Below are 27988 nucleotides of genomic sequence, written 5' to 3'. Positions count from 1 at the left end.
TTAACTAATTCTGTGAGGACAGCATTACTCTAATAGAAATAAAAACTTTACAAGAAAGAAAAACTACAGGCAATTATCTCTCATTAACATATATGCAAAAATTCTCAACAAAACACTAGCAAACTGAATTGAGCAATGTACAAATGTACAGAATTATATACAACGACGAAGTAGAACTTATCCCACCTACGCAAGACTGGTACAGCCTTGAAAATCAATTGATGTAATCTATTACATCAACATGGTAAAGAAGAAAAATCATGTGATCTTATCAACAGATACAAAAAATGCACTAGTCAAAATCCAACACTAATAAAAATGCTCAGGAAGTTAGGAATAAAGAAGAACTCCCTCAACTGGATAAAGAACATGTATTAAAAAAATTCAGTTAATACAACACATAATAGTGAGAAACAAGATCCTTTCACACTAAGACTGGGAGCAAGGAAAGGATATCCCTTGCCAGTACTCTTACCTGACATTATGCAGGAAGTCCTAGCTAATGCAATAAGACAAAGTTATATAAATTAAATTCAAAGAAAATTAAAGTTATATAAATAGGGAAGAAAGAGATAAAACTGTCTTTGTTAGCAGATGACATGATTGTTGGTATAAAAAATCCCAAAGAATCAACCAAAACTCTACTGGAATAAGTGATCATGGCAGGCTTTCAGAGTGCAAGATTAATATGCAAAAGTCAATGGTCTTTATATCAGCAATGAAAACTTGGAATTTGAAAGTTAAAAAGAATACCATTTATATTAGCATAATGTAAATGAAATACATATAATTCTAACAAAATACATAGAGATCTACGTGAAAAAAAGTAGAAAACTGTGATTAACAAAAGATTTAAATACATATCCCACATTCATAGATAGGAAGACTCAATATTGTCAAGCTGTCAGTTCTTCTCAACTTGATGTATGGATTCAATACAATTTCAATCAAAATTCTACCAGGCTATTTTGTAGATACAGGCAAATTGATTCTAAAATTTATAGAAATAGTTTATATGCAAAGACACAGAATAGCCAAGATAGCAATGAAGAAAAAGAACAAAGTTGGAAGACTGACACTACTCAACTTCAAGACTTACTATACTATAAAGCTACAGTAATCAATACATCATGGTTTTGGCAAAAGAACTGACAAATACATCAATGATACACAATAAAACACTCAGAAATATCCCACATAAATACAGTCAACTGACTTTTAACAAAGGAGTAAAGACAATTCAGAGGAGAAATAATGGTCTTTACCCCAATAGTATTGGAACAACTGGATATCCACCTGCAGAACAGTCAATTGAGACAAAGTCTTTATACCAAATGGACTACAGAGGAAAACACAAAACTATGGATCTCCTAGAAAATAGCACAGGAAAAAAATCTTGGTGACCCTAAGTCTGAAGGTGCACTTTTAGATAAAATACCACAAGTACAATCCATGAAAAAGAAAATTATTAAGTTGAATTTCATTAAAATTAAAAACTTCTACTGTGTGAAAGACACTGTCAAGAGAATGAAAAAGACAAGCTACAGACTAGAAAATCTCTGCAACATATATAAATGATAAAGGACTGTTATCCAAAATATATGAAGGAATACAGATAGGAAGGAAGGAGACAATGGTCTGTTCTATCTCTATGTTTATGTAAAACATAACAGTAAGATATCAAACAACCTGATTAAAATATGGACAAAAGATATGAATAAACATCTCATTAAAGAAGATATACAAATGGAAAATAAGACTATGAAAGGATGCTCACTATGATATGTCACCAGGGAAATGCAAATTAAAATGATTGAGATATCACTACACATCTATTTAAATAAAAGCTAAAATCCAAAGAGCTGACAACAGCAAATGTCAGCAGGGATGTGGAGAACAGGAATTCTCATTTGTTGTGGATGCCATGCAAAATGGGTACAGCCAGATGAAAGACAGTTTGGCAGTTTCTTTTTACTTTCTTTCTTTGTTTCTTATTTTTTCTTTCTTTCTTTTTTTTTTTAAAGACAAGGTCTAACTATGTTGCCCTGGCTGATCGCAAACTCCTCCCACTTCAGCCTCCTAAAGTGTTGATATTACAGGCGTGAGTCACCACACTGGCCTAGCAAACACACCCTTAACATAGGATACAGTAATCATGTTACTTGGTATTTATGAGTTGAAAACTTATGTCCACACAAAATCTACATCTAAAAGTTTGTAACAGTTTCTTTTCATAAGTGCCAAAAGGTGGAAGAAAGCAAAATGTCCTTTACCAGGTGAATGGGTAAAGAAGTGGATAAAACCATAAAATAGAATATTATTCAGCAATAAAAAGAAATGAGCTGTCAAGCCAAAAAGACATGAAGGAGTCTTAAATAAAAATTGCTAAGTGAAAGAAGCCAATCTGAAAAGGCTACGTACTATATGATTCCAACTATATGACACTCTGCAAAACGCAAAACAGTGGAAAGACCGGTGGGTGCCAGGTGTTCACTGGAAGGGAATGAGTGATAAATAGCTGTGGCACAGGGAATTTTTAGGGCAGAAAAATTATAGCATGTGATTCTACAACTAGATACATGTCATTATACACTTGTCAAAACCCACAGAATATACAACTCAAAGAATGAACCTTAATGTAAACTATAGACTCTGCATGACAATATATCAATATTAGTTCATACACTGTAACATATATCACACTAATGTCATTTGTGAATAACAGGGAAAACTGTGTTTTGGGGAAAAGAGAGTATATGGAAACTCTCTATGCCTTCCATTCAATTTTTCTGTAAACCTAATACTGATCTAAAAAATGAAATCTATTATAATTAAAAAAAGTTAGGGGGATAATAAAACAAAAAATCCAGAGAGGTGGTTACCAATATGAGGGTGACACAAGATGAGAAAAAACACACAGACAGATGCAGCTACATTAGTGATATTCTAGTTCTAATATTGGGTAGTGGTACATCACAGATGTTCATTTTACTATTATGCCTCATAACTTGCATACATAAGATATATGCTTTTCAACTACTGAGTCAGTGTTACAGCTCTCTTAGAATTTATCTAGCAGGTTTTCTGGTCTTCACTGGAAGACCACTATGCTATTAAATTTCACTGGAAAGCCCCCTATGCTATTAAATTTCTTTAAATGAAAAATAAAAAACAATTGAGTCAAATAAATTAAGAAAAAATATTCTACATTGAATATATGTGTATACTTTTTTCAACTAGGTTGTGACTGGAGAGCAGAAGATGTTTCACTTACCATAAGACATACATAAATACTGGTTAATAAATGTCTTATGACTATCTACTATAGATAGGCGGCATAATATTGAAGAATACTGGCTTTGGTTTTAGACTGCTACCTTAATTTTGATTCTGATTTTTATTAGTTTTGTGAACTTAGGGAGCCTCATTTAGTTTCCCCATTTCTGATTCTTCAAATGGAAATACTTTACATTTTATGAGAAATAAATAATATGTATAAAGTATATATAAAATAGGTTCTGATACATTAAATATATGAAATAAATAATTCTCTTCCTCTTGTTATATTCTGAAGATTTTTGAGGGCAAGTATGGCAAAGAGTTTAAGGGCATCAGCTAGAGCCAGAATGCCTAGATTAAAAAATCAGCTCTGACTTGCACTAGTTGTAGTATGATTGCTATGTCCCTGTTTTTTCACTTGTAAAATGGAGATGATAAAGTAATATTCCACAGGGTTGTGAGAATTAAATAAGGTAACTCATATTAAGTGTTTAGAACAATATTTGGTATACACTGTCAGTACAAGTAATTATTTTTATCATTATAGTTATTATCTCAGGCTGAAGTCACTGGAAAGATTTTTACATTTAAATTAGCTCTTCCTAAAAATCCACCTGTCAGCTAATTCTTGAACAGATGTAAACAATTCGACATACAAACTTTTCTCCTGTGTTTTCATATATGAAAGCCTAAATTTAAAAAAAGTCTGTTCATATATGACGGCCTAAACTAAGAAAATGGTGATGAAATTAGTGACTACTGATAAAGGCAATGAAACACTGATGCTATTTAATGACTTGTGACTTTGATTAAGACTAAATCCTTATTATAAAATGGGCTTATAATTTCAAGTAAATTACGACTTATTGACAGACACTAACAAGGTAGAGTATGGCACATGAATATATCAAATACATGAATAGCTTCAAATAAATGAATGATTAAAGTTTAAGTTATCAGAATAAACTATAAAACGGCCTTTAAAAAATAAAAGATAACAAAACTTAAGCATGCTTGATCAATATGGTTCTCATCGAAGCTAACTGGCAAAAGGTTAATTTCATGCCATGCATTTTGTTAGGAGTGTATGCTGCTTATTAGTTATTAATGTATTTGAGATGTAAATTAACTCACTTATAAAACAAAACAATCTGGTTAACACACAGGGTTACTGTAAGGTCATGTGATACTACATACATAGGCATTTGGAAAACTGTCAAGGTATCTATAGATACCTCAGTGATAATCTCTCTTACAGAGGTAGTAATAATATGGCCATATTATTTGTTGGGTAAAGACGAAGAATTCTAAAAAGCTACACATTATAAACTCCAAAAAGTCAAATTTCATTTGTTCTGAAATACTGGTTATTCTCTTAGAATTTTTTTTTTTTTTTTTTTTTTTTCCAGTTTAGAAGCATAAGAGCCCCTTGTCAGGCAAAATCTTACAGGGCTCTCAATCTACAAAGCAGGTAAAAGAACTGCTAATCCTTTTCATCCCAATTTTCTTAAGAGCTGCCTGCCCTACAGCTCCTAGAATCTCTGCTTTAAAACAAAGAAAACAACTAGAAAACTGGGACTTCAGCTTGTCTACACAACAAAACACATCATATTGTTCTATTTCAGAAAAACTTCAAAGTCATCCTGGTGAACTACAATATGTGCTAGGGTCAAGCTGTCTCTGTACTACATGACAACTTAGTTCAGTGACCACTCCATGCTTCAACTAGTCTTCAAAATGGGAAATAATTCTACTAAACTTTCAGGGTTACTGTGAGGGTTCAATTAAATAACATATATGTATGGGCAGAGCTAATGACCAATGAGTAGGAAGCATTCTTGCTCAGGCATGAAATAAAGTATCTGACAAAATTATATAGCCTCCCATAAGAATGAACAGAACTTGGCTGGGCGCAGTGGCCTGGAATCCTAACACTATGGGAGGCCAAGGCAGGTAGATCTCCTGAGCTGAGCTCAGGAGTTCAAGTCCAGCCTGGGCAACAAGGCGAAACCTAGTCTCTATAAAAAATACAAAAAAATTAGCGGGCTGTGGTGGTGCATGCTTGCAGTCCCAGCTACTTGCCGGGCTGAGGCAGGAAGATCACTTGAGCCCAGGAGCCCAGGTTGAAGTGAGCCAAAATCCCGCCACTGCATTCCAACCTGGGTGACAAAGTGAGACCCTGTCTCAAAAATAAAAATAAAAATAAAGAATGAACAGGCCTTGGACGTGGTGACTGTAATAAATGTAAGTGTTTGATGCACATTAATTAGATTGACCTATAAATTTCAGAATAACCACAATTTATTTTGCTTGTATTTGTAATAAACTGTATTGAAGTCTTTGCAAACTAAGAATAAATGATTATTCAAACTTCAAATAAAAAAAATGTATGAATAGCTTCATTGTTCTTGGTTTAAAAAAAAAACAACGGTGTTAACTGATTTATCTGGTAAATCTAATCACAAATTTTAAAAATTCAATCATTTCAGGTGCCTAAATCCCTCTGTGCTGATGTAACATATAAATGAATTTTGAAATTACAATTAAAAATAACACCTATTAAAATTTTAATATTTTGACACACTTAACATTTAAGGGCGGCAAGCTGCTTTGGGGGCATCTTCCAAAGTCCTTATTGGATTTTAAATCATCTACAATTAAGTGAAAATAAAATAAACATTCATAAGCAAAATATAATCCCAAATTACCACAGAAAGAGCAATGGACAATACATTTTATAACAATGTACACGTACAGAAAAATAAATAAAATTCTTACAATAGTATGGTTGACTGAATTTCCTTACTAGGATATCGTTTGAAGATTTGTATTAGGTAGCATTGCCTGAAAACTTTTTGAACAGCTTAAAAAACCTTTTAGTCAGATTCTTAAAATTATACCCTTAAGTAAACAATATCATAAAAGAATCTGGTTTGAGATCCAGTCAATAATAATTAATTTACTCTGTTCTATTCAATTTATTTTCAAGCAAGAGAAAATTCTGAATATTTTTCTAAAAAGTTAAGCTAAAATAAAAAACATTAAGGCAACAATTAAGATTTGATATCTTCCTGTTGGTGTAGAACATACAAAACACTTAATATGAAACAAAATTACAGTCCCTTATTAATTTCCCTTTTTGAAGATACTCAGAATTAACAGAAACAACTTCAAGGTACTTTGTACAATCATAAAATTTTGTATTCTATAAATATCCTCTATGCTTAAACTTTCAGAAATTGTATAATTTTTCATAATGTCACCATGAAAAGACTAGTATATATACAAATTAAAATAATTGACTAAGATTTACCAGAGTGTATTTATGATTAATTGGTTGATGTCTTCTCCCTTTTTTCCCATACCAGAGACGAGACATTTCCTTTCCAGGGCAAATTAAGTTACATAAAATCACGTAAGAACTGTTTTCAAAAGCATTCTTCCTCTGTCAAAGATAAATTTCCAGCACTAGAGCCTTACTACAGTGACAAAACAGTTTGCTAGAGACAAAGATTTGATTGACAAGAGAGAGAGCTAATCACTAAGTAGTATCCATAGCAATGATAGTCCTGAGTGGAGGCTGTAAAGCTGGGGAGGGAAGAGAGAATTTCCCATGCTTAAGTTTGGTTGCACTGTACCCAAATGTGCAAAGAAAGGGCTCAAAAGTTTAAAGACACAGAGCCTATATTTCCAAACATCAGTACATGAATATACTAAAAGTAACCCAGTAACAAAAAAGTAGTAAATATAATTTCCAGAGTCTCTTAAAGCACATGAATGATTTGAATGAACATTTTGTTATTTGTTCATATAGTCATAAAATTATGTTCCTTACTTACAGCTAACAGTACTATAAGATTGTATCTTTTATGTGAACATTTTTTAAGCAATAAGATGCCTTTTGTGGACTCTTCCACCCTAAAATTTTACAGAATGACTGTGTAAAAACCAAGCCAATATGCTACAAATAAATCCTACACAAATATTCAAAGTGACCTGAAAATCCCTCTGCCTGTTACACAGTCTGTTTTTAAATTGCATTTTCTAACATCTAATTTCTTGAAAAGGTAGTTATATTCACTATGCCTACATATACTTCACTAACCAGTGATATTTTGAATATAAGCAAAGAAGTGAATTTTTTAAAGATTAAATATAAACTACAAATACATATAAACTAAAACTATCTAGAATTCAGTTTTAATCAGAATATCAATATCATGATGATACATTTGAAAATTTCTTCCATTTTAAGGTAAAGCAGCTCCTTCCACTTCACTTTGTTGTATGCACACATGATGCCACCTTTTCACACACACACTACCTTTCTAACACGCAATACTGCATCCCAACCAAACCCCCACTCCCATCTCCTTCCTCCACATTCCAGCATGCACTCACACAGGGCACAGCACACCCCACAGTAACACCCTACCTCCCCCACATACCAACCATTTCCCCTATTCCTCTCATTCAGCCCCACTACATTTACCCTAAAATCTCTCCCACAGTCCCTCATAGGAACACCATCATTATCTTCACACCAGGAAAGTTCTCTTCTACATACAGTGCATTGTGGTCACACTCCACCCCTCCATCACAGACTCTCCTAACAACCATCAGCAATATTATATAATTTGGTGGTGGTGGTGGTGGAAGCAGCATTTTGAAAGCTTGTCATAACTTCCAGCTACATTTTCTAAAATAACAAATATGACGTGTGTTCCAAAATGAGGTTTAAATGAGATATTAAAAACAAAACCAAAAACCACCAAGCATGGCATAGTCTATTCTGTTGGTTGCCTATTCAATATCCACCCTTACAACTCCTTCCTGAAGTGGCCTTGATTTTGCTCAGGTATCCTTCCAGCCATGTGTTTCTGAGGAGGCTGGCTCTCATCTCTGGACAGAACTAGTCATTAGAGACCTAAATCAGTGGCTTTCAAGTTTTAGCCGGCATCAATATCACCTGGAGTATTTGTTATACCAGAATGCTGGGCTCCAAAAATGGTTTCTAATTAATCAGACTCAAATGGGGTCTGAGAATTTGCATTTCTAACAAATTCCCAGGTGCTGCTGCTGCTGATGGTCTGGGAACTACACTTCGAGAAACAACAGGTTTAAGCTATTCTGAGTGTGGTTTTCTGTTTCTCGAAGTCATCCAAATTTATAAATACAGTGTCAGGCAAACATAAAATGAGCTCAGTAAGTCTCCTTCTTGCCCTTTCTGTTTTTGTAGTATTTATAATACATATTGCTAAGTCATTTAAATTTGCCTAGATATCCAAGAATTTGAAGCAGATGTCAATTGTTATTATTATAACATGATGGGATATAAAACAAAGCACTTTTGAAAACACTACCAGTTTACAAGTTGAACATAATCTGTTCTCATAATTCAGATATTCAATTTAATAATCCTTTTCCTTTACTTTATTCGAACTGAAGTTATTAAATTACCTTATATCTCTTCCTATTTGAGTTGGGAATGGTATGATAGAAGCTATAATATATAATTTACCCTACTCACTATTTATTATTTTATGCCAGGTGAGGTGGCTGTAATCCCAGTGCTTTGGGAGGCTGAGGCAGGAGGATTACTTGAGCCTAGAAGATTGAGACCAGCGTGGGCAACACAGCAAGACTCTATCTCTAAAAAAAAAAAATTAGCTGGATGAGGTGGCACATACCTGTAGTCCCATCTACTGAGGAGGATGAGGCAGGAGGACCTCTTGAGCCCAGGAGTTCGAGGATGCAGTGAGCTGTGAGTGTGCCATTGCATTCCAGCCTGGGCAACACAGCAAGACCCTTTCTCAAAAAATAATAATAAATTTAAAAATAAAGTAATATTTTAGAATTTTAATATTTAAAATCATAAACTAGTCTGTCACCCATAAATCCTCTTCTGACAGTCTATATTAGAGGTTTTTTGTTTGTTTGTTTTTTGTTTTGAGATGGAGTATTGCTCTGTTGCCCAGGCTGGAGTACAATGACATGATCTCTGCTCACTGTAACCTCCGCCTCCTGGGTTCAAGTGATTATCCTGCCTCAGAGTCCTGAGTAGCTGGGATCACAGGTGTGCGCCACCACGCCCGGCTAATTTTTGTATTTTTTTTTTTTTTTTTGAGACAGAGGCTTGCTCTGTCGCCCAGGCTGGAGTGCAGTGGCACGATCTCGGCTCACTGCAAGGTTCGCCTCCTGGGTTCATGCCATTCTCCTGCCTCAGCCTCCTGAGTAGCTGGGACTACAGGCATCCACCACCACACCTGGCTATTGTATTTTATTTTATATTTTTAGTAGAGACGGGGTTTCACCGTGTTAGCGAGGATGGTCTCGATCTCCTGACCTCATGATCCACCTGCCTCGGCCTCCCAAAGTGCTGGGATTACACGCATGAGCCACCGCACCTGGCCTAATTTTTGTATTTTTAATAGAGATGGGATTTCACCATATTGGCCAGGCTGGTCTCGAACTCCTGACCTCAGGTAATCTGCTTGCCTTGACCTCCCAAAATGCTGGGATTACAGGTGTGAGCCACCACGCCTGGCCTAGATAAAGATTTTTAATGGAAATGTTATAGCTCATAACTTTGGGCTAGCAATTGAAGAATATTTTTAACAGGGAAAGCAAAACACTAGTTCAAAACTCTCCTAAGGTCGATAACAACTTTAAGATAACATAATCAGTAGTCAAAACAGACCATATTAGGCATAAAACCTGGGTGCCAAATGCTAATAAAAGAAAACATAAACAGTCTAAAAGTTTCATTTGTAACTATACAGGTTCTCAACATAGAAATATAGTCATATATCACATAATGACAGGGATATGTTCTGAGAAATGCATCTTTAAGCAATTTCGTTTTGTGAACATCACAGTGTGTACTTACACAAACCTAAATGGAATAGCCTACCATATAACCAGGTTATACGGTATGGCCTATTACTTCTAGGTCATACCATATAGCACGTTACTGTACTGAATACTATAGGTGACTGTAACACAGTGATAAGGATTTGTGTATCAAAATATATCTAAACATAGAGAGGGTAATGCATTGTACTATGATGTTATGACATCACTAAGAGACAGCTCCATTATAATCTCAGGGGACCAACCAAAATGTCATTATGTGCTGCATGACCGTATTATGAAAGTCAGTACCTATCAACTAATAAATTCTAATTAAGTGTTTAATCCTTCTGATTTCTTTTTTAGATTTATTAAATTTCTTCTGGAGTTATAATTTGTAATATTATTTGATTATTCGATCAGTATTAAAAAAAAAGAATACTTAAAAAAATTCCCTTTATCTGAGAAATGTGATTTCTCAATGTAGTGACTTTATACACAAAGAATTCCTTCACTTTTGGACAAAATTAATTCTATGTGGATTTTGCTGGCTAGACTGAGAAGAGATCATGAGGGTTTTGTGCGTTTAACATATTAACTCAGTTTTAATTTTGGTGTTACTTGTACCTTAATAATAATAGAAAACATATGTTTAATAAAATGATCACCAGAATACTCACTGCCTGTCAGCTTAGGAAATAAGATATTAACCAAACAAGGGAAGTCTCCTGATAAGGTGTTTCTTAAAAGTTGCAGCAATAACCACGGTTGTAGAAGTTTTCTGGGAAACCTAATGAATGATCCTGACCATAACTCTACTTAATGATAGCTGTGAAAACAGAACTGGCTCCACAAGGCAATCACCACATAGTAGTGAAAAACCAAATCCAACAATGACATAATGTGATAAATGTTATGGCCTACAATGCTAAGAACGGGTTACATATTTTACACTTATATAACTAAAAGGGACAGCACTAAATACTAAAGTCAAAATGGAAAGACTATAAATTATTTTAAAAACTAAGCTGAAAGGCAGATTCTAACATATTTTGAATAATAGTATAGAGGTTTATATAGTAAGTAGTTAACATATTTACATTTATACTTAAATAATCTAAACTTCAATTATTGAGAAAATGTGACTAATGTCATGTACCTAAAAAGATACAGGTTGTTTCAAAACCCCAAAACTGTACAGAATGTCTTTTTATCAGTATTTTGGCAAAGGTGAGAAGCAAGAGGGAAGCCAGAGCAATTTTATTCAAATACGAATCATTTTAAGAATGAAAAATACTGTTACACACCCTATCAACACATAATCTTAGTAAATTCGTTCTTAAAATTTAATCAAGTAAATGTGTGGGAGACTAAATAAATCAAGTAAAGTTGATTTAATAAAACCAGTTTCTTAGCTGTTTTTATTTATCATCCTAGGAGAACTGGATACTTTAATTAGGTTTGTAGTATGAAAGATACTGAAGTACATGTGGTATAAAATTAGAGATGAAAAATTTTGGAAAGCTTTCTCTGCCAGCTTTTATCCCAAAAGGACTGGAAAAGTCAATCCAAAGGAAAGGAACCAAAAAGCAATGTTAGCATAAAAAGCTCCACCTTTGAGGCCTGTGTGGTCAAGCAGCAAGACTGGCATACTGAACATGTGACACAATGAATCCTTGACTTTCAGAAAATTCTAGTATACAGCCTCTTGAAGTTGGTACTTGGGGTGGATGCTGATATTGTCCAGCATGTAATGTCTCATGATAAATGATGGCAGGATAAAAGCGATTCAACTTACAGTATTACCATTTTGACTTCATGATAAGAAATTCCAAATTCATCTTTATATTACAACAAATAAATTATAAAGCTGAATGAAAAGTTTTACATGAATCTGAGCTTATTGTGGTGGTCACTCCTTTAAGCTATACTACTGGATCCTCAGGCACTTGCCAAATATATTAAATTTTAAAGGGTATTTGATGGACAAAGTTGAAGAAGACAAAGTTCAAAGATCATTGACTTACAGCCTGGTATGTTTTTTGATCTTCCTCTCCTTGTAGTATCTCTGAGTACACAACATGATGGAAGTCCTGTGGTATGTAAGGGAGCTATGACAACATCAATTGTATCTGCATGGCTGTTACTGAGGAGAAAATATGTTTTCTTAAAAATCAAGGCACAAAATGATTAAACAAACCTTTTTCCATAGTGAACCAAATTTATGTTTTTGATGCAGCAGCCCAGATGAAAGGAATATGAAAAGTATTTCATATAACTTGCATGACAGGAACTCAAAAGCTGATCTATATTATAATCAATATAGTCTAAAGAGTCTTCCACAGTCTTAATATTGTATATGTTTAACACAACACCTGAAGTTGTGGCATGGTGGTATACTAGTTTTCGCACCTTGACTGCACAATGTAACTACCTAGGTAGCTTTAAACAACACTGATAACTAGGTCCTAGCCCCAATTATTCTGATTTAATTGGTCTGATTTGTGACCTTGGCAATGATATGTTTGAAAGCTCCCCATCATGATGCAAAGGTTCCGCCAAAGTTGAGTACTTGGTATGGTGGAAAAGGTATAGGCTCTGAATTAGAGATTAACCACTAAGAGAATTTTAGCCAAATAAAAAACCAGCTTAAAGAAATTATCTGGGCCAGACACGGTGGCTCACGCCTGTAATCCCAGCACTTTGGGAGGCCAAGGCAGGCGGATCATGAGGGCAGGAGATTGAGACCATCCTAGCTAACACGATGAAACTCCGTCTCTACTAAAAATACAAAAAAATTAGCCGGGCGTGGTGGCGGGCGCCTGTAGTCCCAGCTGCTCGGGAAGCTGAGGCAGGAGAATGGCGTGAATCCAGGAGGCGGAGCTTGCAGTGAGCCAAGATGACGCCACTGCACTCCAGCCTGAGCGACAGACGGAGACTCCATCTCAAAAAAAATAAAATAAATAAAAAAATACAAAGAAATTATCTGTAAAATAAAGATGATAATCTATACTTAAGTGTATTGCTCTAGATCTATCAATCATTCAAGTGGTAGAATAACATGTTAACAGACACTATGGGGATGCAAACAGCATATTCCAGACTGTGTGACATTCTACAGAAAAAAAATCTGATTTCTTAAAAACTGAAATAAAAAAGCAAAGCAAAGCAATGGAGGAGGAACCTACATTTAGAGAGACTTAAGAGATATTTTAACTAACTGCAGCATTTGAGAACTTAGTTGGATCATGACTCAAAAAACAAATTGTAAAAATACATACTGTACATATTACATGTATTCTAAATATTTTTATGACATTTGAATAACTATGAACAATTGGAGAAAAGGAGGGACACAGAAGAAATAAGCTGATGAAGCTGAATGGCACATGTGAATTTGTTTTACTATTAATCTTTTATTTTTGTATATTTATTGAACAAAAGTGCGATCATCACGAAATAGCAGATGTCAATAGGCATTCTGCCTCATCTTCACCTCAGGACTTGCCTGACAATTTGTTAAAATGCCATTAGAGCACTTCCCTTTTCAGTGAAAAGGCATAAAAAATCTGTATCAAAAAACAGAAAGTAATATTTATCACAGAACTGCAAAGCCCCACATCAAACAGTATCCTCACAACACTGGATATACTTATTGACTTCCTGTGTTGAATACCGGCAGAAATCAGGGGAAAGACTGTAATAAGTAGTTCCTTCTCAGTTATCAAATAAGGTTATCAGATCCCCAAAAGCAAGACTCATAATGCATATTTCTTTTATTTGGGTATCACACCAAAAACATAAGTTTGGTTCACTATGAAGAAAGGTTTCCTTAATCATTTTGTGCCTTGATTGTTTAAAAACATGCTTTCTTATCAATAGCAGCCATGTTGACGCAATTAATTCAGGCATAGCTCCTTTTTTTTTTTTTTGAGGTGGAGTCTCGCTCTGTCGCCCAGGCTGCAGTGCAGTGGCATGATCTTGGCTCACTGCACGCTCCACCTCCCAGGTTCACGCCATTCTCCTGCCTCAGCCTCCCGAGTAGCTACAACAAGAAGCGCCCGCCACCACGCCCGGCTAATTTTTTGTATTTTTAGTAGAGACGGGGTTTCACCATGTTAGCCAGGATGGTCTCGATCTCCTGACCTCGTGATCCACCTGTCTCGGCCTCCCAAAGTGCTGGGATTACAGGCGTGAGCCACCACGCCCGACCCACACCAAAGTACTCTTTATCATGTGGCATACAAAGTAACACTACAAAAAGAGGAAATTCAGTCCTTTACACATCGTGAGCAGTAAGAATAGTATTTCTCAGATCCTTTATCCAAATACTTAGGAACTGATTTATCATTAGGAACTTTTACTCCTGACCACCTTAAAATTTGGCTAAATTTTCTTTTTCTTAGTAAATATATGTTTCTGTCTGTCTTCAATAGGACTGGTCTTCAATGTTCATATTTGGAAATTAAAATTTTTAAAAATATTACGGAATTTTTCCTGCTATCCCAAGTGTACATTTTAGTAATTTGGGGTGCCATAGTTTATGAACTCTTTTAACATATTTTAGGGTACTGATATGAATAAGATCTGAATAGAGTTCATAAAGTTAAACAGTTGAAGTACTGGAAAAAATAATTCTGAAACAAGATTAAAAGGGAAGACAAACATTTTCACACTATCGCAGTAAATAGAAAATGTTTCTTGTTGTTATTGACTTGCATTGGAAGACAGAATAAAGATAAATGAATCCAATTTACAAAGATATGTTTCCTTAAGCTTATTGTAACAAATAACTTTCTAACAGAGCTGTCCTAAAATGTAAAGTATTGCCCTTTGAGGTAACAAATTCCCTTTCACTGAATATGTTTAAACAGAACAAAAAAAAATGTAAATGACAGACTGTGGACTATTAGTTAAAATGTCCAGAATCTATGGCTTTATGAAAATATTTACTACAACTGATGTAAGAACTTATTTCAGGAAATAGAGCAATCTTGAAAGATTAGAAGCTTTATACCTTAATTTTAATCTACGCCCAAGTTTATCCATTAATAAATATTGAGAATGAACTATATGCCTATACAATTCTTAGTTCTGAAGATATAATAGTGTATGAAATTGACAAATCCCTGCCTTATGACACTTACATAGGGAAAGGGAGAAAAAAGCAAACAATAAGTTTACCAAATTTATCATATACAAACTTCCCCAGTCAATGTATACATTTCTGGCTAGCAATATATTTCTGCTTGAGTAACAGTCAGGGATAATAAAGATCTTTTTTAAGTATCACTAAAGCAGAATAACAGTGAGTAGAGGTGTTAGTTTAAATCTAACTGATGCCCAAGTTGGTAGCCATAACAAGTTCATCCTAAATTCTAGGACACCTATTCTCCATTCCTTTGTAGAACAAAAAAATAAAAAACATCACGGCACATTCTGAAGTACTACTGTTTTATATAAGGGCTTTAGCCAAATTCTTCCTGTTTTAAAATAAATCATGTTAACATTTAAAATTACTCTTTCACTTAAATGAGTACTCATTAGTTTAACAAACATTTTTATTTTATTTATTTATTTTTTTTGAGATGGAGTCTCACTCTGTTGCCCAGGCTGGAGTGCAGTGGTGTGATCTTGGCTCACTGCAATCTCCGCCTCCCAGGTTCAAGTGATTCTCCTGCCTCAGCCTCCCGAGCAACTGGGACTACAGGCGTGTGCTACCACGTCCAGCTAATTTTTGTATTTTTAGTAGAGACAGGGTTTTACCATATTGGCCAGGCTGGTCTCAAACTCCTGACCTCGTGATCCACCCTAGTTTAACATTTTTTATTTGTTACCCTCGGCCTCCCTAGTTTAACAAACATTTTTTTAGGCACTTAGTATCCATGAGGCATAGACCTGCACTGCACAAGAGCAATATAATGTAAGATACATTACAATTGTAAATTTTCTAGACACCACATTAAAAAAGTGAAATTAATTGTATTAATATAGTTTATTTAACCTAATGTATTCAAAATATTATCACTTCAATATTAATCAGTATAAACAAACAAGATGTTTACATTCTTTTTTCTTTCCATTCTAAGTCATTAAAATCCAGTGTGTATTTTTTTTTTTTTTTTTTTTTTTTTTTTTTTGAGACGGAGTCTCGCTCTGTCGCCCAGGCCGGACTGCGGACTGCAGTGGCGCAATCTCGGCTCACTGCAAGCTCCGCTTCCCGGGTTCACGCCATTCTCCTGCCTCAGCCTCCCGAGTAGCTGGGACTACAGGCACCCACCACCGCGCCCGGCTAATTTTTTGTATTTTTAGTAGAGACGGGGTTTCACCTTGTTAGCCAGGATGGTCTCGATCTCCTGACCTCATGATCCACCCGCCTCGGCCTCCCAAAGTGCTGGGATTACAGGCGTGAGCCACCGCGCCCGGCCTCCAGTGTGTATTTTATACTACAGCTCATTTCAATTGAGATTGGCCACATTTTAAATGCTCAATGGTTACATGTGGCTAGTGGCTATAGGAAGTAGAATATTTTACACTACAGCACATCTCAATTCAGGCACTAAATTTTCATAGGAAATACTTGACCTTAATTAGATTTAGACTGATTTAGATCATATTTAGATTTCATGAAATTTACAGTTGAAAAAGTAGATCATATATCTAAGTTATTCCTAATATATTTAAAAATTGTCCAATAATGGAACCAAGTATCGGTTTTTAATTAATAATTAAAACTAAAAATGCAGTCCCTTAGTGGCATTACATGAATTTCAAGTACTCAATAGCCACATATGGCTAGTGCTGCTATACTGGATACTGCGGTAATATTTTCAGACAATGTAGCAAGGAGTTTCCAAAATTATTTTTTTCTCTTCCATTTTCTTTTGAACTGCACCAATTCCGGTCAAAGGACTGGTGAGGAGATTTATTTTTCCTTTAGAAATTATACCCTGCAGAGTCTTGCACAGAAACTGAGACAGTTCCTTTGAATCAAAATAGTCAATAGTCTCTTATTTCCAAAGTTAAGTACTCCAACCCCAATGGAGAGAAAGCTCTCAATTCCCGTTCATGACTGACAATTCTGCCATCCACCGTGCCACCCAAGCTGGAGATAACTTTATGGTTACCAGGTTGTCACTGAATCCTGTGTAATTAGCTAGCTAATACCTTTTCTTCTAGCTTTATTTCATCACCTTCCACTCTACCTTCAACTGTTGCTGCCTTAGTTAGGTACGTATCTTTGATCACCTGGGCTATTTTAAGTACCTTCTAAAGCTAATCTTAAAAACACAGCTCAGGGACATAGATGTATATAATATATATATATATAAGATACATATATATATTATATACGTATTATATATATTATATATATTTTACATATGTAATCACCCAAGTAACCACCACTGAGAGTAACATATAGAACATCCCCAGAACGCAATAAAGTTCCCTCCTGTCCCTGAGCCACCCTGTCACAGCCCAGTATCAAGTAGTGTGATGGATTTCTGACTAGTTTTGCCCTTTTGAACTTCGTGTAAATGAAATTACATAGTATATGTTCATTTGTGTCAGGCTTCTTTTACTCAACATATTATTTGTAAAATTCATCCATGTCATTGCCTGTACCAGTAGATCTTTTTTATTGTTATTTGGAATTCTGTAAGTATTCAAAAATGTATTCATCCATTCTCCTGCTAATGAGACTTTCCAATTTGGGGCCATTATGAATAAAGCTGGTATGAAGATTGATAATGTTGGTTTAAGTATTAAAATAACCCAAAATACATGGTCGATATGTTCTTCTTTCCCTCCCTTATATTGGAGTCACAGTAGAAACTGATGCTGTATATACTACACAGAATGACATTAGACACATTCCAAATCAGTTTGCATTTTAAACAAAAGACAAGCCATGTATACCTTCAATTACTATACATGTTAAGTGCATGCAAGATACATTCATATCACATTAACAGCCACAAACATTAACACCCAATGAATAAAAAAATTTGATTACATTTATTATAACATTTTAGCATCTGCTCTACATTTTCTAATGCATCAAGAAGAGACTAATCTAGGCAACACCAACAGATATTGCCACCCTACCAACCTTATAAGACAAAGCATGTAAAAGGTAATATGTAATCTTAAGATATATCTAAGAGGAGTTACAAAAAGTTTGTTAGTATAACTTTGACCATTTAAACAAGTTCAGTAAATCTGAGCATATAAAATTTCTACTACTTTATAAAATTAGCACCTGCTTATTTCCTTAAAATTATTATTGAAAAATTTAAGTCAAGATAATGCTTAGGTCTGAAACATAGAAAGGAGTAGTAATTTGTATAGATGCTATGCAAATACTATGCACAGATGTGTTAAATGACTGCCGTACCTCCTCCATGGAGGAGATGAAATTAAAACAAATCAGATGTGAAATCGATGTTTTATGAAAATTAATATAACAGCAAAATTAAAATTATTTCCTTCTTTGCCATAATGTTAATCTTTCCTAAACTAAATATTCTATAAGACACTCAATAAAAGTCATTTTATTGCTAGTGGGTTTTCTAGTATTTTAAAGCAAAAGCAGAATGACAAATATAGTATTAAAGTCACTATTCAGATTCATTCAATAACCACAAATAAACACGGATAGTGAACCTGACCTTTAAAAAAATTCCTCTTTTGTGGAAACATCACTTATACTTTGTACTACCATAAAGCTATAAATTCATACAAACTAAAAAGATGACTAAAATCTTCATATTTTTCTCCTTACCTCCCATTCTCTGGCTGCTGCTTGATTACTAGAATCCTCAATTGTTTCAGACTCCTCAATCTTTTTTACTACTATAAATCCAGGTTCTCTGGTATATTCGCCAGTATCTTCTGCATATATTTCTGGACTCCACTGAATGAAGAAGGCATACAAGTGATCTGTCCTGTTAGGAGAAGTGACTATTAATATACCTAGTATTCTGTGCTGCCAGAATTAAAAAATTATATTTGTAAAATATCTTGATAAATCTTGAAGACTTAAAATATACACAAAATATATTGTTTTATATTAATATAAAAGGTCTACTATCAGGAAGGCATTAACTTAAACATTTTATTTGGCTATATTCTGTCAGGTTGTTCTTTAGAAAACCAAATTAAGATTTTCCTTGGCATGTGTTTGACTAGTTCAGATGTTGTATATTATAAAGCTTTTCTTCTTTAAAGACACTAGTGATGGAAAAGGAAATTAGATACACAACTTTGACCTCATTCCTACAATAATCTAATGATCTAAAATACAAGTAAACAATTTATTAATGGCCTATTTTGAGACATTATATACAATTTTCCAAGTTAATAGAAATGTAATGTCCTTAAATTTTAAATGATACTAGGAACATACAGTGTTGAGAGACAGATGATCTAATCTTAGAAATCTCAGGTTCCCCTTTTCAATGTTTTGTTTACTACACTAAAGCCAGTTGTTACATTCCCTGATAAATGTATTTGAGAGTCACACACACATTTCAAATATCTACGTTTTATTGGTTTTAATTAACATGTTTTTGAAAATTGATTATATAACTTTCAGCTAACATATACCAGTTAATAACCATGGTTCTAGAAATTATATTTTCAATATAATGATTTTTAAAATTGCCATTCTTTACGTGGCAGCTAACATATTTAAAAGGTGCTACATTTTATCTTTCAATGTAACATCTTACCTTTTTATCAATTTCTCACTATCTATGCAGCAGTTTTCCTAAGTTTTATGTCTACAATAAAGATCAGAATCCTAATAATACTAATTTGTAATGAATATTAACCAAGATAAAAGAATGAATATTAAAATAGGGAATTCCATGTAAACATTAAAACCAAGAATAATGAGAAAAACTAAATTTTTATGTCCATTTTAACTAAATATAGTTACATTTCTCATTGTAGTGATTTCAACATCACTGGAACGTTTGAATATCAGGCTCTGTCCCTTTCAGGTATTCATCAATTATGCAAATCATATTTTAAGATTAAGCCAATGTTGTGGAAGACACACATTGTACTTACTCTATATATGGTGGAGTGGGAAAAGGGAAAAGAGCATTATCATTTTATGCCTAAAAGCTGTAGTCTTCCAAAGCAACATATAAAGATTTTCCAAGAGGTACACAAACGTGTAAGATGGTGCTAAGGGAATCAATTCGCGTATCTCCAATTTCCATATGTTACTCTTTGCTCATAATAATCTGCCTAAAAACAGTATGGTCAAGATATTTTACAGATTTCCTGTTATCTGCTTTCACTAAAGCACTTTTTCTAATTTATAAAAGAAGGGCATATCTTCACCTACTCAGAATTTACAATGGGATATGCCCTACAGTATAAAAACTTTTAGGCTGCCCAAGATTGGTGTTGAGACAGGAAATGATTATAAAGACTGGGTAATAAGTCCTTCTGTATGTCAGGTTGTTTCTCATTAATTGATTTCCGCAAAACTGAAGGAGTTTTCAATGGAGTTGTCCACTGATGATCACTAAAAATATTGTGACAAAAATGATTAATTTTTGGAATTATATAGAAACAAGTTTAAATAATTGAATGACATTATTAAAATGAAACTCTCTTCAGTCTCACTGACTTTTCTATGAACAAAGCTTCTCAGTACTTATAAAGAAAAATAAAAGGGAGAGGCAGAACTGATGCTGAGTCCTATCTCATCCTTTCAATGAAACATATTAATCTATCAATGGATATAGGAAAGGTCTATCTATCTCCTTAAGACAGGCATTTCCTATGATATTTTACTTTTTATGTGTAATACCTTTGCTCAGCAGTATCTTTTCAAGTATGTTAGTGTAGCATTATCTTAGAAGTAGAGATAGTATCTTACTGTCTAGCAAAGGGTAACCATGCTTACTGTCTGTTATAAAAATTCAGGTTCCCTAAACTTATGGTTCCTCTTCTGTAAAATAACCCCAGGTATGTGCAGCTGTCACTTGGCCTTTTTCACATCCTTTGTAGGAAAGGAGGTACAGAGAAATCACACAATTGCTGATGTTCTGATTACTGCTGTTGTACAGATGTTTGTGCTTTCTCCCAGCATGCACCAAATGGAGGCAGACTAAGTTGTTGGCTTGCAGGTAGCCTAAAACCTTAAACCCTTTACTGTTTTTACAAAAGTCACAGAAAATGTTAAAATAAATGCAATTTCAATATACACACACAGATATGTAAATGTGTTAAGTATATGTAGTTTGTTGCAAAGAACTATAATGGGGATAAAAATATAGTACGTTGTAATGAGTTTGTGTGAGGTGGTATTATGGAAATAGAAGTTTAAAGAGAAAAAGTAATGATGCAATGTCTAACTGTTAAAGTAATTTTAAGTGAATAATAGTACAGGGAAAGTTGTTATAATGTTTCAGTTCTACTGGGTATAAGTAACACTATTTACTTAAAATGTAAAAATTGACAAGATAGTACAATAGACATCTTTTACAACCGCTTAAAACTTATGATGAAAAATCTAATTGTGCAAAGGGTACACACAAATATTGTGAAGACCACTACATCCTTTTAGTAGCTAATTTAGTGTCACGTATATAGAAGATATTTAATGAATATTTGAAGAATTTTTAATATAAAGGAATTATACACCATTAGCTGCCTTCAGGAAGGAGCTATATCAAATAATATTTTGATGAATCTTCTTGCTCCAAGGTATCTTAAGTCTCTTTACTACCCAAATTGGATATTTGTTCACATTTTTAAATAATAAACTACAAAAGGGAATGCAATTAAAAATGGGGCAAATTATAAAGTAGGGGCAAAATGGTTTCAAATAGACTTATTGTCTGCTTTTAATCATAAACTATGTTTCAATAGTTTATCATTGGTATTTTGACACACAAAATAATTTTAGTTCAAAGAATCTCAATAATGCTCTCAAGGTGTCGTATGGGTTTTTTACCTTTCTTGTGGCACAGCAAACCAATATTCATGTTTCTTATCTCTCTGTGCATACTGTTGCATTGTAGCACTTGCTTGAGATACAAACGTTTTCCTCATTGGTTTTCCAACTCTGAGACACAAGAACTTATGTAATCGATGCCTTTGCTTTTCTTTTAAAAGTGCAGAACCTAGAATTGAGATGCAAACAGTGTTTATTCAATTCTCACACACCAAGTTTAGGTAGTTTAGTTAACTTTACCTTCAAAATTCTGACAAATAGTTACAGAATAAAACCTCACTTTAGTGGTGCTAAAGTACATTTTCTTAATTTATATTTTTTTTCCTTCAAAGGTAAAGTCACAGATACAACATGACTAAACTTAACAAAAGAGCCAAGTTAATGAATAAAAATTATGTCTAAGGACATTAAGAAAAAAAGTAAAAGTTTCAGAAACATTGTTACATTTTCAACACCCATACTAAAGCAATCATATATATATACACACACATAATATATATATAATTTTCTACATATTCTCTATCAGTCTTTTTGAATGACATCTAAATAACTGTAGAAGTTTTAAAGGTATACTTAACATGGTTGTTTCAGACAAAAATTTAATGAAGTTTCTAATGCTTTTACATGTATACAAAATTGTAATAAAACAGTCAATAATATGTTAGATTCTGCCACCTGTTTGGACAGTTAATTAAGAACGAATTAGTTCTAACTCTTTCAACCAGAGGTGCTGATAGAGTATACTGAGGGTCTGAATATATAGGTGAATTTAGGAACCCAGACATTGATTAGCTTACCAAGGCAGCACACTGGAGGAAATAGCACTTATAGTCAGGAGACCTGGGTACTCATCATGGCTTTTTCTGTGCAGTATTACACAAGGTAGATAATCTATGGGAACCCCACTATTTTCATGTGGTTAAAACGATGAGCTTTCACCATTCTTCTCATAATTGGACTAGACACTTTTATATTTATTACATAATTTTATTATAAAGTCATAAAGATCAGAAAGTTTGAATATTTCTCTATTACAGAATATTAAGTAACTTAAAATTACTTAAAACTAATTATTCCAAAAAAAGAAGAAACCAAATGGTAACAGTTTAGAGATGACTGTTTAAAAACATCTATCAATTTTTGTCCTTTTAATATTTGGTTATAATAACCTCCCCTAACCCCATTAAACCCCCAACCCCCACAACAAAATTGGTCCACCACATCATCAGCTTAAACAGATTATTTTATCTTTTTCAAAGGTTTTATAATATAAGGTAACTATCAGATGTAGTCAAAGATGCAGTCAAAGATCTTCAAAATATAAGATAACTATCAGATGCATTTTCTGTCTTTGATGTTTTGAAGAATGCTGGGCAGCATTCTTTAAAATGTCTTAACAATACAGATCGTTAATAACAACTGGATGTCTTAATAAGCAAATGGTTAAATAAATTTTAGGGCCTTTAAAGCCATGTTTTCAAAGAACTGTAATCACATAGGAAAAGGTTCATGACATAAAAAAGCAGGATACAACAGTATAGTATAATCTTGATTTGATGTAAATAACAAATTAACACATATGATTTTGTTCTATAAGAAAGACAGATATATTGAATGTTAACAATGATCATCTCTGGGTGATGAATTCCAGAAGATTTTTATAAATTTTCTAGAATCTTCCTATGTTTGCCAAATGTTCTTTACTGAACATGCATTAGTTTTGAATTAAAAAAATATTACAGAAGAAAAATATTAAATCTTTTATAGAACTTGGTTCAAGTATTAATATATGAATTATTTTAATATCTACTGAACACAGCCCTTAGGTCTTCAGGATATCTCAACTGCATGATGAAAAGAAAATTCGGTATTTTAAAAACTGACCCAAATCTTGTGTACTGCCGCAGGGAAGGTAAAATGGTGCAGCCACTATGGAAAACAGTACGGAGGTTCCTCAAGAAATTAAACATAGAGTTACCACATGATCCAGAATTCCACTCTGGGAATATACCCAAAAAAAACTCAAAGGAGGGATTCAAACAGATATTTGTACACTAATGTTCAAAGCAGCATTATTCACAATAGCCAAAAGGTTGAAACAACCAAAATGTCCAGCAACAAATGAACAGACAAAATGTACACACATACAATGGAATATTATTCAGCCTTAAAAAGATAGGAAATTCTGACACATATTACAGAATAAATGAACTTTGAAGGCATTATGTCAAGTGAAATAAGCCAAACATCAATGGATAAATATTGTATGACTCCACTCACATGAAGTATCTAGAGTAGTTAAATTCAGAAACAAAGTAGAATGTTGGTTGCCAAAAGCTATGAGGAAGGGAGAAAAGCAAGTTACTGGTTTTTGTTTTTTATTTTTTTGTTTGAGACAGCATCTTGCTCTGTTGCTCAGGCTGGAGTGCAGTGGCATGATCATGGCTCATAGCAGCCTCGACCTCCTGGGTTCAATCAATTCTCCCATCTTAGTCTCCCGAGTAGTTGGGCCTACAGGTGTGCACCATCACCATGTCTGACGAATTTTTGTAATTTTTTTTTGTAGAAACAGGGTTTTGCCATGGTGCCCAAGCTGTTCTCCAACTCCTAGGTTCAAGCAATCTGCCTGCCTCAGCCTCCCAAAGTGATAGGATTACAGGAGTGAGCCACCATGCCTGGCCAACTTATTGTTTAAGGGGTACAGAGTTTCAGTTTTAGAAGATGAAAAAAGCTCTGGAAATGGACAGTAGTGATGATCTGCATAACAATGTGAATGTACTAATGCCACTGCATTGTAGATATAAAAATGCTTCAAATAATATATTTACGTTACATTTTACCATAATTTTAAAAAGTTAAATGGTAAATTTTATTTTATGTATTACAGCAAAACAAAAATCTTTGAATTTAAAAAATGAAAGAAAAGTTCACATGTGAATGGACTAGTCTGGGATAAACATTCTAATAGAATATCAGAAATGTTAGCTAAGTTAGTTGTTATACCCCATTTAACCCATAATTTATTAACAGAAGCACAGTATATTAGAAATAAAAGACTGAAAATAGTGTAATTTTCAGAAGTAAACAGTACCAGAAAACTGACAGATAAAATAGTGTTTTTATTTGTCCTGAGGGCAGGTTTTTAAAAGAAAATAATTAGATGATGATGATGAAACTTCTCGATACGTGGAAGAATTCTGTAAGTACACTTTTAGGTTTAACTGTACATTTTATAAAAGATGGGATTACAACTTTGGCAATTAAAATGTTATATATGAAAAAAGACATTTTTAATGGTAACACACCAAAAACTTTTTAAGAGAAAATGGAGTGATCAAAGGTATTATACAGCTTTTGTGCAATTTCTCAAGAAATAAATTGTTTAATGATACGATGTAGTGAGCCAAGAATGTTTAAACATGGTGGGTAGCAATGATGCTCATTATGTGTACAATCCACCTGTGGGATAAGAAAAGACAGTAGACACTGGAGACTGTATATACTTGTCCCCAGAGAATCACCGGTCAAGGGTCACTCACTTATCCTTCAGGTTGCCCTAAGGTACAGCGGCTTTTGAGTCAGTGAGGAAAGACGGAGACACCATACAATTGGATGAACTAACTTCATTTACTCTATAACACTTACTTTCTATGTGTCCATCAGCAGATGTAATTTTATGCTTAGCTTCTTTTTGTGACACTTGTTGAATATTTTCCCTTTGCTGTTTAGTTTGTTGCATAGTATGGGTTTTCCAAAGTTTGCGTAGCTCTTCTGCCTCTGTCTGTGAGTCCTGATTTTGCTCCTTTCCTTGTTTTCCTTTGTTAACACTTTGCTTTTGTTTAAATTCTGCTGTTTCCCCACAAGGCATATTTTCTTTTTGACTCTCTTCTTGGTGTAACGAATTCTCATGAAGAAAAGAATCCTGGTCTGAATTACCTTTTATACTTGTGCTGTCTTCTTTAGGACCTGATATTCCTTGAAAGTTATCTGCAATCTGATCTTCCTTAATGGCCATTTCAAGATTATTTAAATCAGTTTTATGACATAAAGTCCCAACTTCATTTGTAGAATGTTCAGTATCAGATCTTAAGTGACCAGGAGTACCAGTAGATTCTGATTTGACTGTCAGACTTTCTACTTCAGCCTGATTGACAGTTTGCACAGATTCTGATGACGCACCAGAAGATTTATCTTGTCGCAGTTCATCTGAAGATACAAGCTCCTCTCGTATAGGGGAAAGTTCTGATTCTGTGAACACATCTTCAGAAAGAGACTCCTCAGTGCTCCTAGGAGCAGTGCTGGCACTATCATTACCTGCATCTCGGATTCTTGAGTCTATTTCCTCAGTGTTACTTCCTGTCATTTTCTTTGAATGGCAGAAGTCCCTTCCTGATAGCTGATCTATATCTCTGTCATTAAACAAAATTAAAAATAATTAGACTTTTAAAATTGTGGTATTTTACTTTTCACACACTGAACACAGAATTAGTATCACTAAAAAGACTTTTTAACAAAAGGATGTAGCACGTATCTCCAAAGAATATAAAAAATCTGATTTATTCAATATGACCAAATAATTAACCTTATAGACCAAGTAATTCTATAAATCAAGTAATTAAGTCAAACTTTTATATCAATTGCTTAATATTTAGGAAATATCAAAGTAAGATTTCCTTGCAAGTAATCCACTTGAAGGGAACTTGATGACATAAACCCTGGGTAAAGCTGTAATTCTAAACTAAAATTTACTCACTGATGGAATATGGAAAATAAACACAGAGAAATGTTTAATTAAAATTTTAAATCTCCCAATAAAGTAAAAATAAACTGATTTCCATAGATATACACACACACACAGTGCTTATTTACATTCAAATAGAGCTTAAATTAAAATATATGGCTCAAATGTAAGGCTTAAAACCAATCTGAATAAAACTCAAGCAAAAGTATATAGAGAAAATCTTCAGGCTAACAACTATACTCTTTAATACCTCTAAGAGAACTTGTTCAGGTGAAAAGTTTAGATACTAGACAAATGAATGGTTCATAACTGGGTCTAGACTTTCAGATTTAATGACATTTGTATATGTAAACACTAATGTTCAAAAGTTAAGTTCTGGAAAGAGGGAGTGTAAACCTCTATACCATGAAATGTAAGTTGCTAATTTAAAATGATGGTTACAAGAAGTCTGTGATAAATGAAAATTATATGAGTTCTTAATGAAAAAAGCATTAACATTTATACATACATAGTTTGAGAACCATGTAAAATATGCTGAAAAGGAAAGATTGTAAAGTAAGTCAACACAAAAATAATTGGCTATCTCTGAATGGTGAAGCTGGGTAACTCTTTGTCTTGTTCCGCTTTTCAGTATTTTCCAATTTTTCTGCAACAAGTATGCATAATTTCTATAACTAGGATGGATAAATTTTTGAAGTATTAATTAGTTGAAGTCAATATCTCTGCTGCCTTTGTATCTGATTCATCTTAAAAAAACAAGAATCTAGTTTGTTATTAAATATACAATAGTGTCATCTACTGGTGATGCACTCATACTGCATCTATAGGGTGTTGGAACCGGGCAAAAGTTTTGAGAAATTTTATCTGTACATTTAAAGAATTAGAAGACCCTTAGGTAAGAGATAAACATAACAAACGTGACAGGATATATATTTAGAAAAGTGCTATACTCTTCAGATTTAATATGCTGAAAGGCTAAACATTTATGTCAATGATGTTACTACTGTTGAATGTAATACCATAATAATACCTTTGAAATCAACCTCCCAAGGAGCATAAGACAGAAGAAAAGCAATCAAATCTTATACCTCATTTTTGGCATACATTTGTTTTATTTATCTAATTTTGTGCCAAAT

General features: G+C 33.8%; 1 protein-coding gene and 1 pseudogene across 19 annotated transcripts in view; one reads left to right on the top strand and one right to left on the bottom strand.

The window, feature by feature from the left end:
* Window positions 1-27988, bottom strand: part of OXR1 (oxidation resistance 1) — a 482517-nt gene that overhangs the window by 19793 nt on the left and 434736 nt on the right. For 15 of the 19 annotated variants that reach the window (NM_018002.3, NM_001198533.2, NM_001198532.1 and 12 more), the window contains 3 exons: window positions 25757-26520; window positions 22112-22280; window positions 18917-19079 (listed from right to left, as the gene is read on the bottom strand). In NM_018002.3, coding sequence (NP_060472.2) covers window positions 18917-19079; window positions 22112-22280; window positions 25757-26520 — 1096 coding nt within the window. Of the gene's footprint in view, window positions 1-6592; window positions 6796-12158; window positions 12278-18916; window positions 19080-22111; window positions 22281-25756; window positions 26521-27988 lie in introns of those variants that run through there. The other 4 variants (XR_001745547.2, XR_007060735.1, NM_001198534.1 and 1 more) reach the window with 2 other exon arrangements.
* RNU7-84P (RNA, U7 small nuclear 84 pseudogene) lies at window positions 3045-3106 on the top strand (annotated as a pseudogene).

This window comes from Homo sapiens, chromosome 8, assembly GCF_000001405.40.
Source record: "Homo sapiens chromosome 8, GRCh38.p14 Primary Assembly".
NCBI lineage: Eukaryota > Metazoa > Chordata > Mammalia > Primates > Hominidae > Homo > Homo sapiens.
This window is presented reverse-complemented; position numbering and strand designations above follow the sequence as displayed.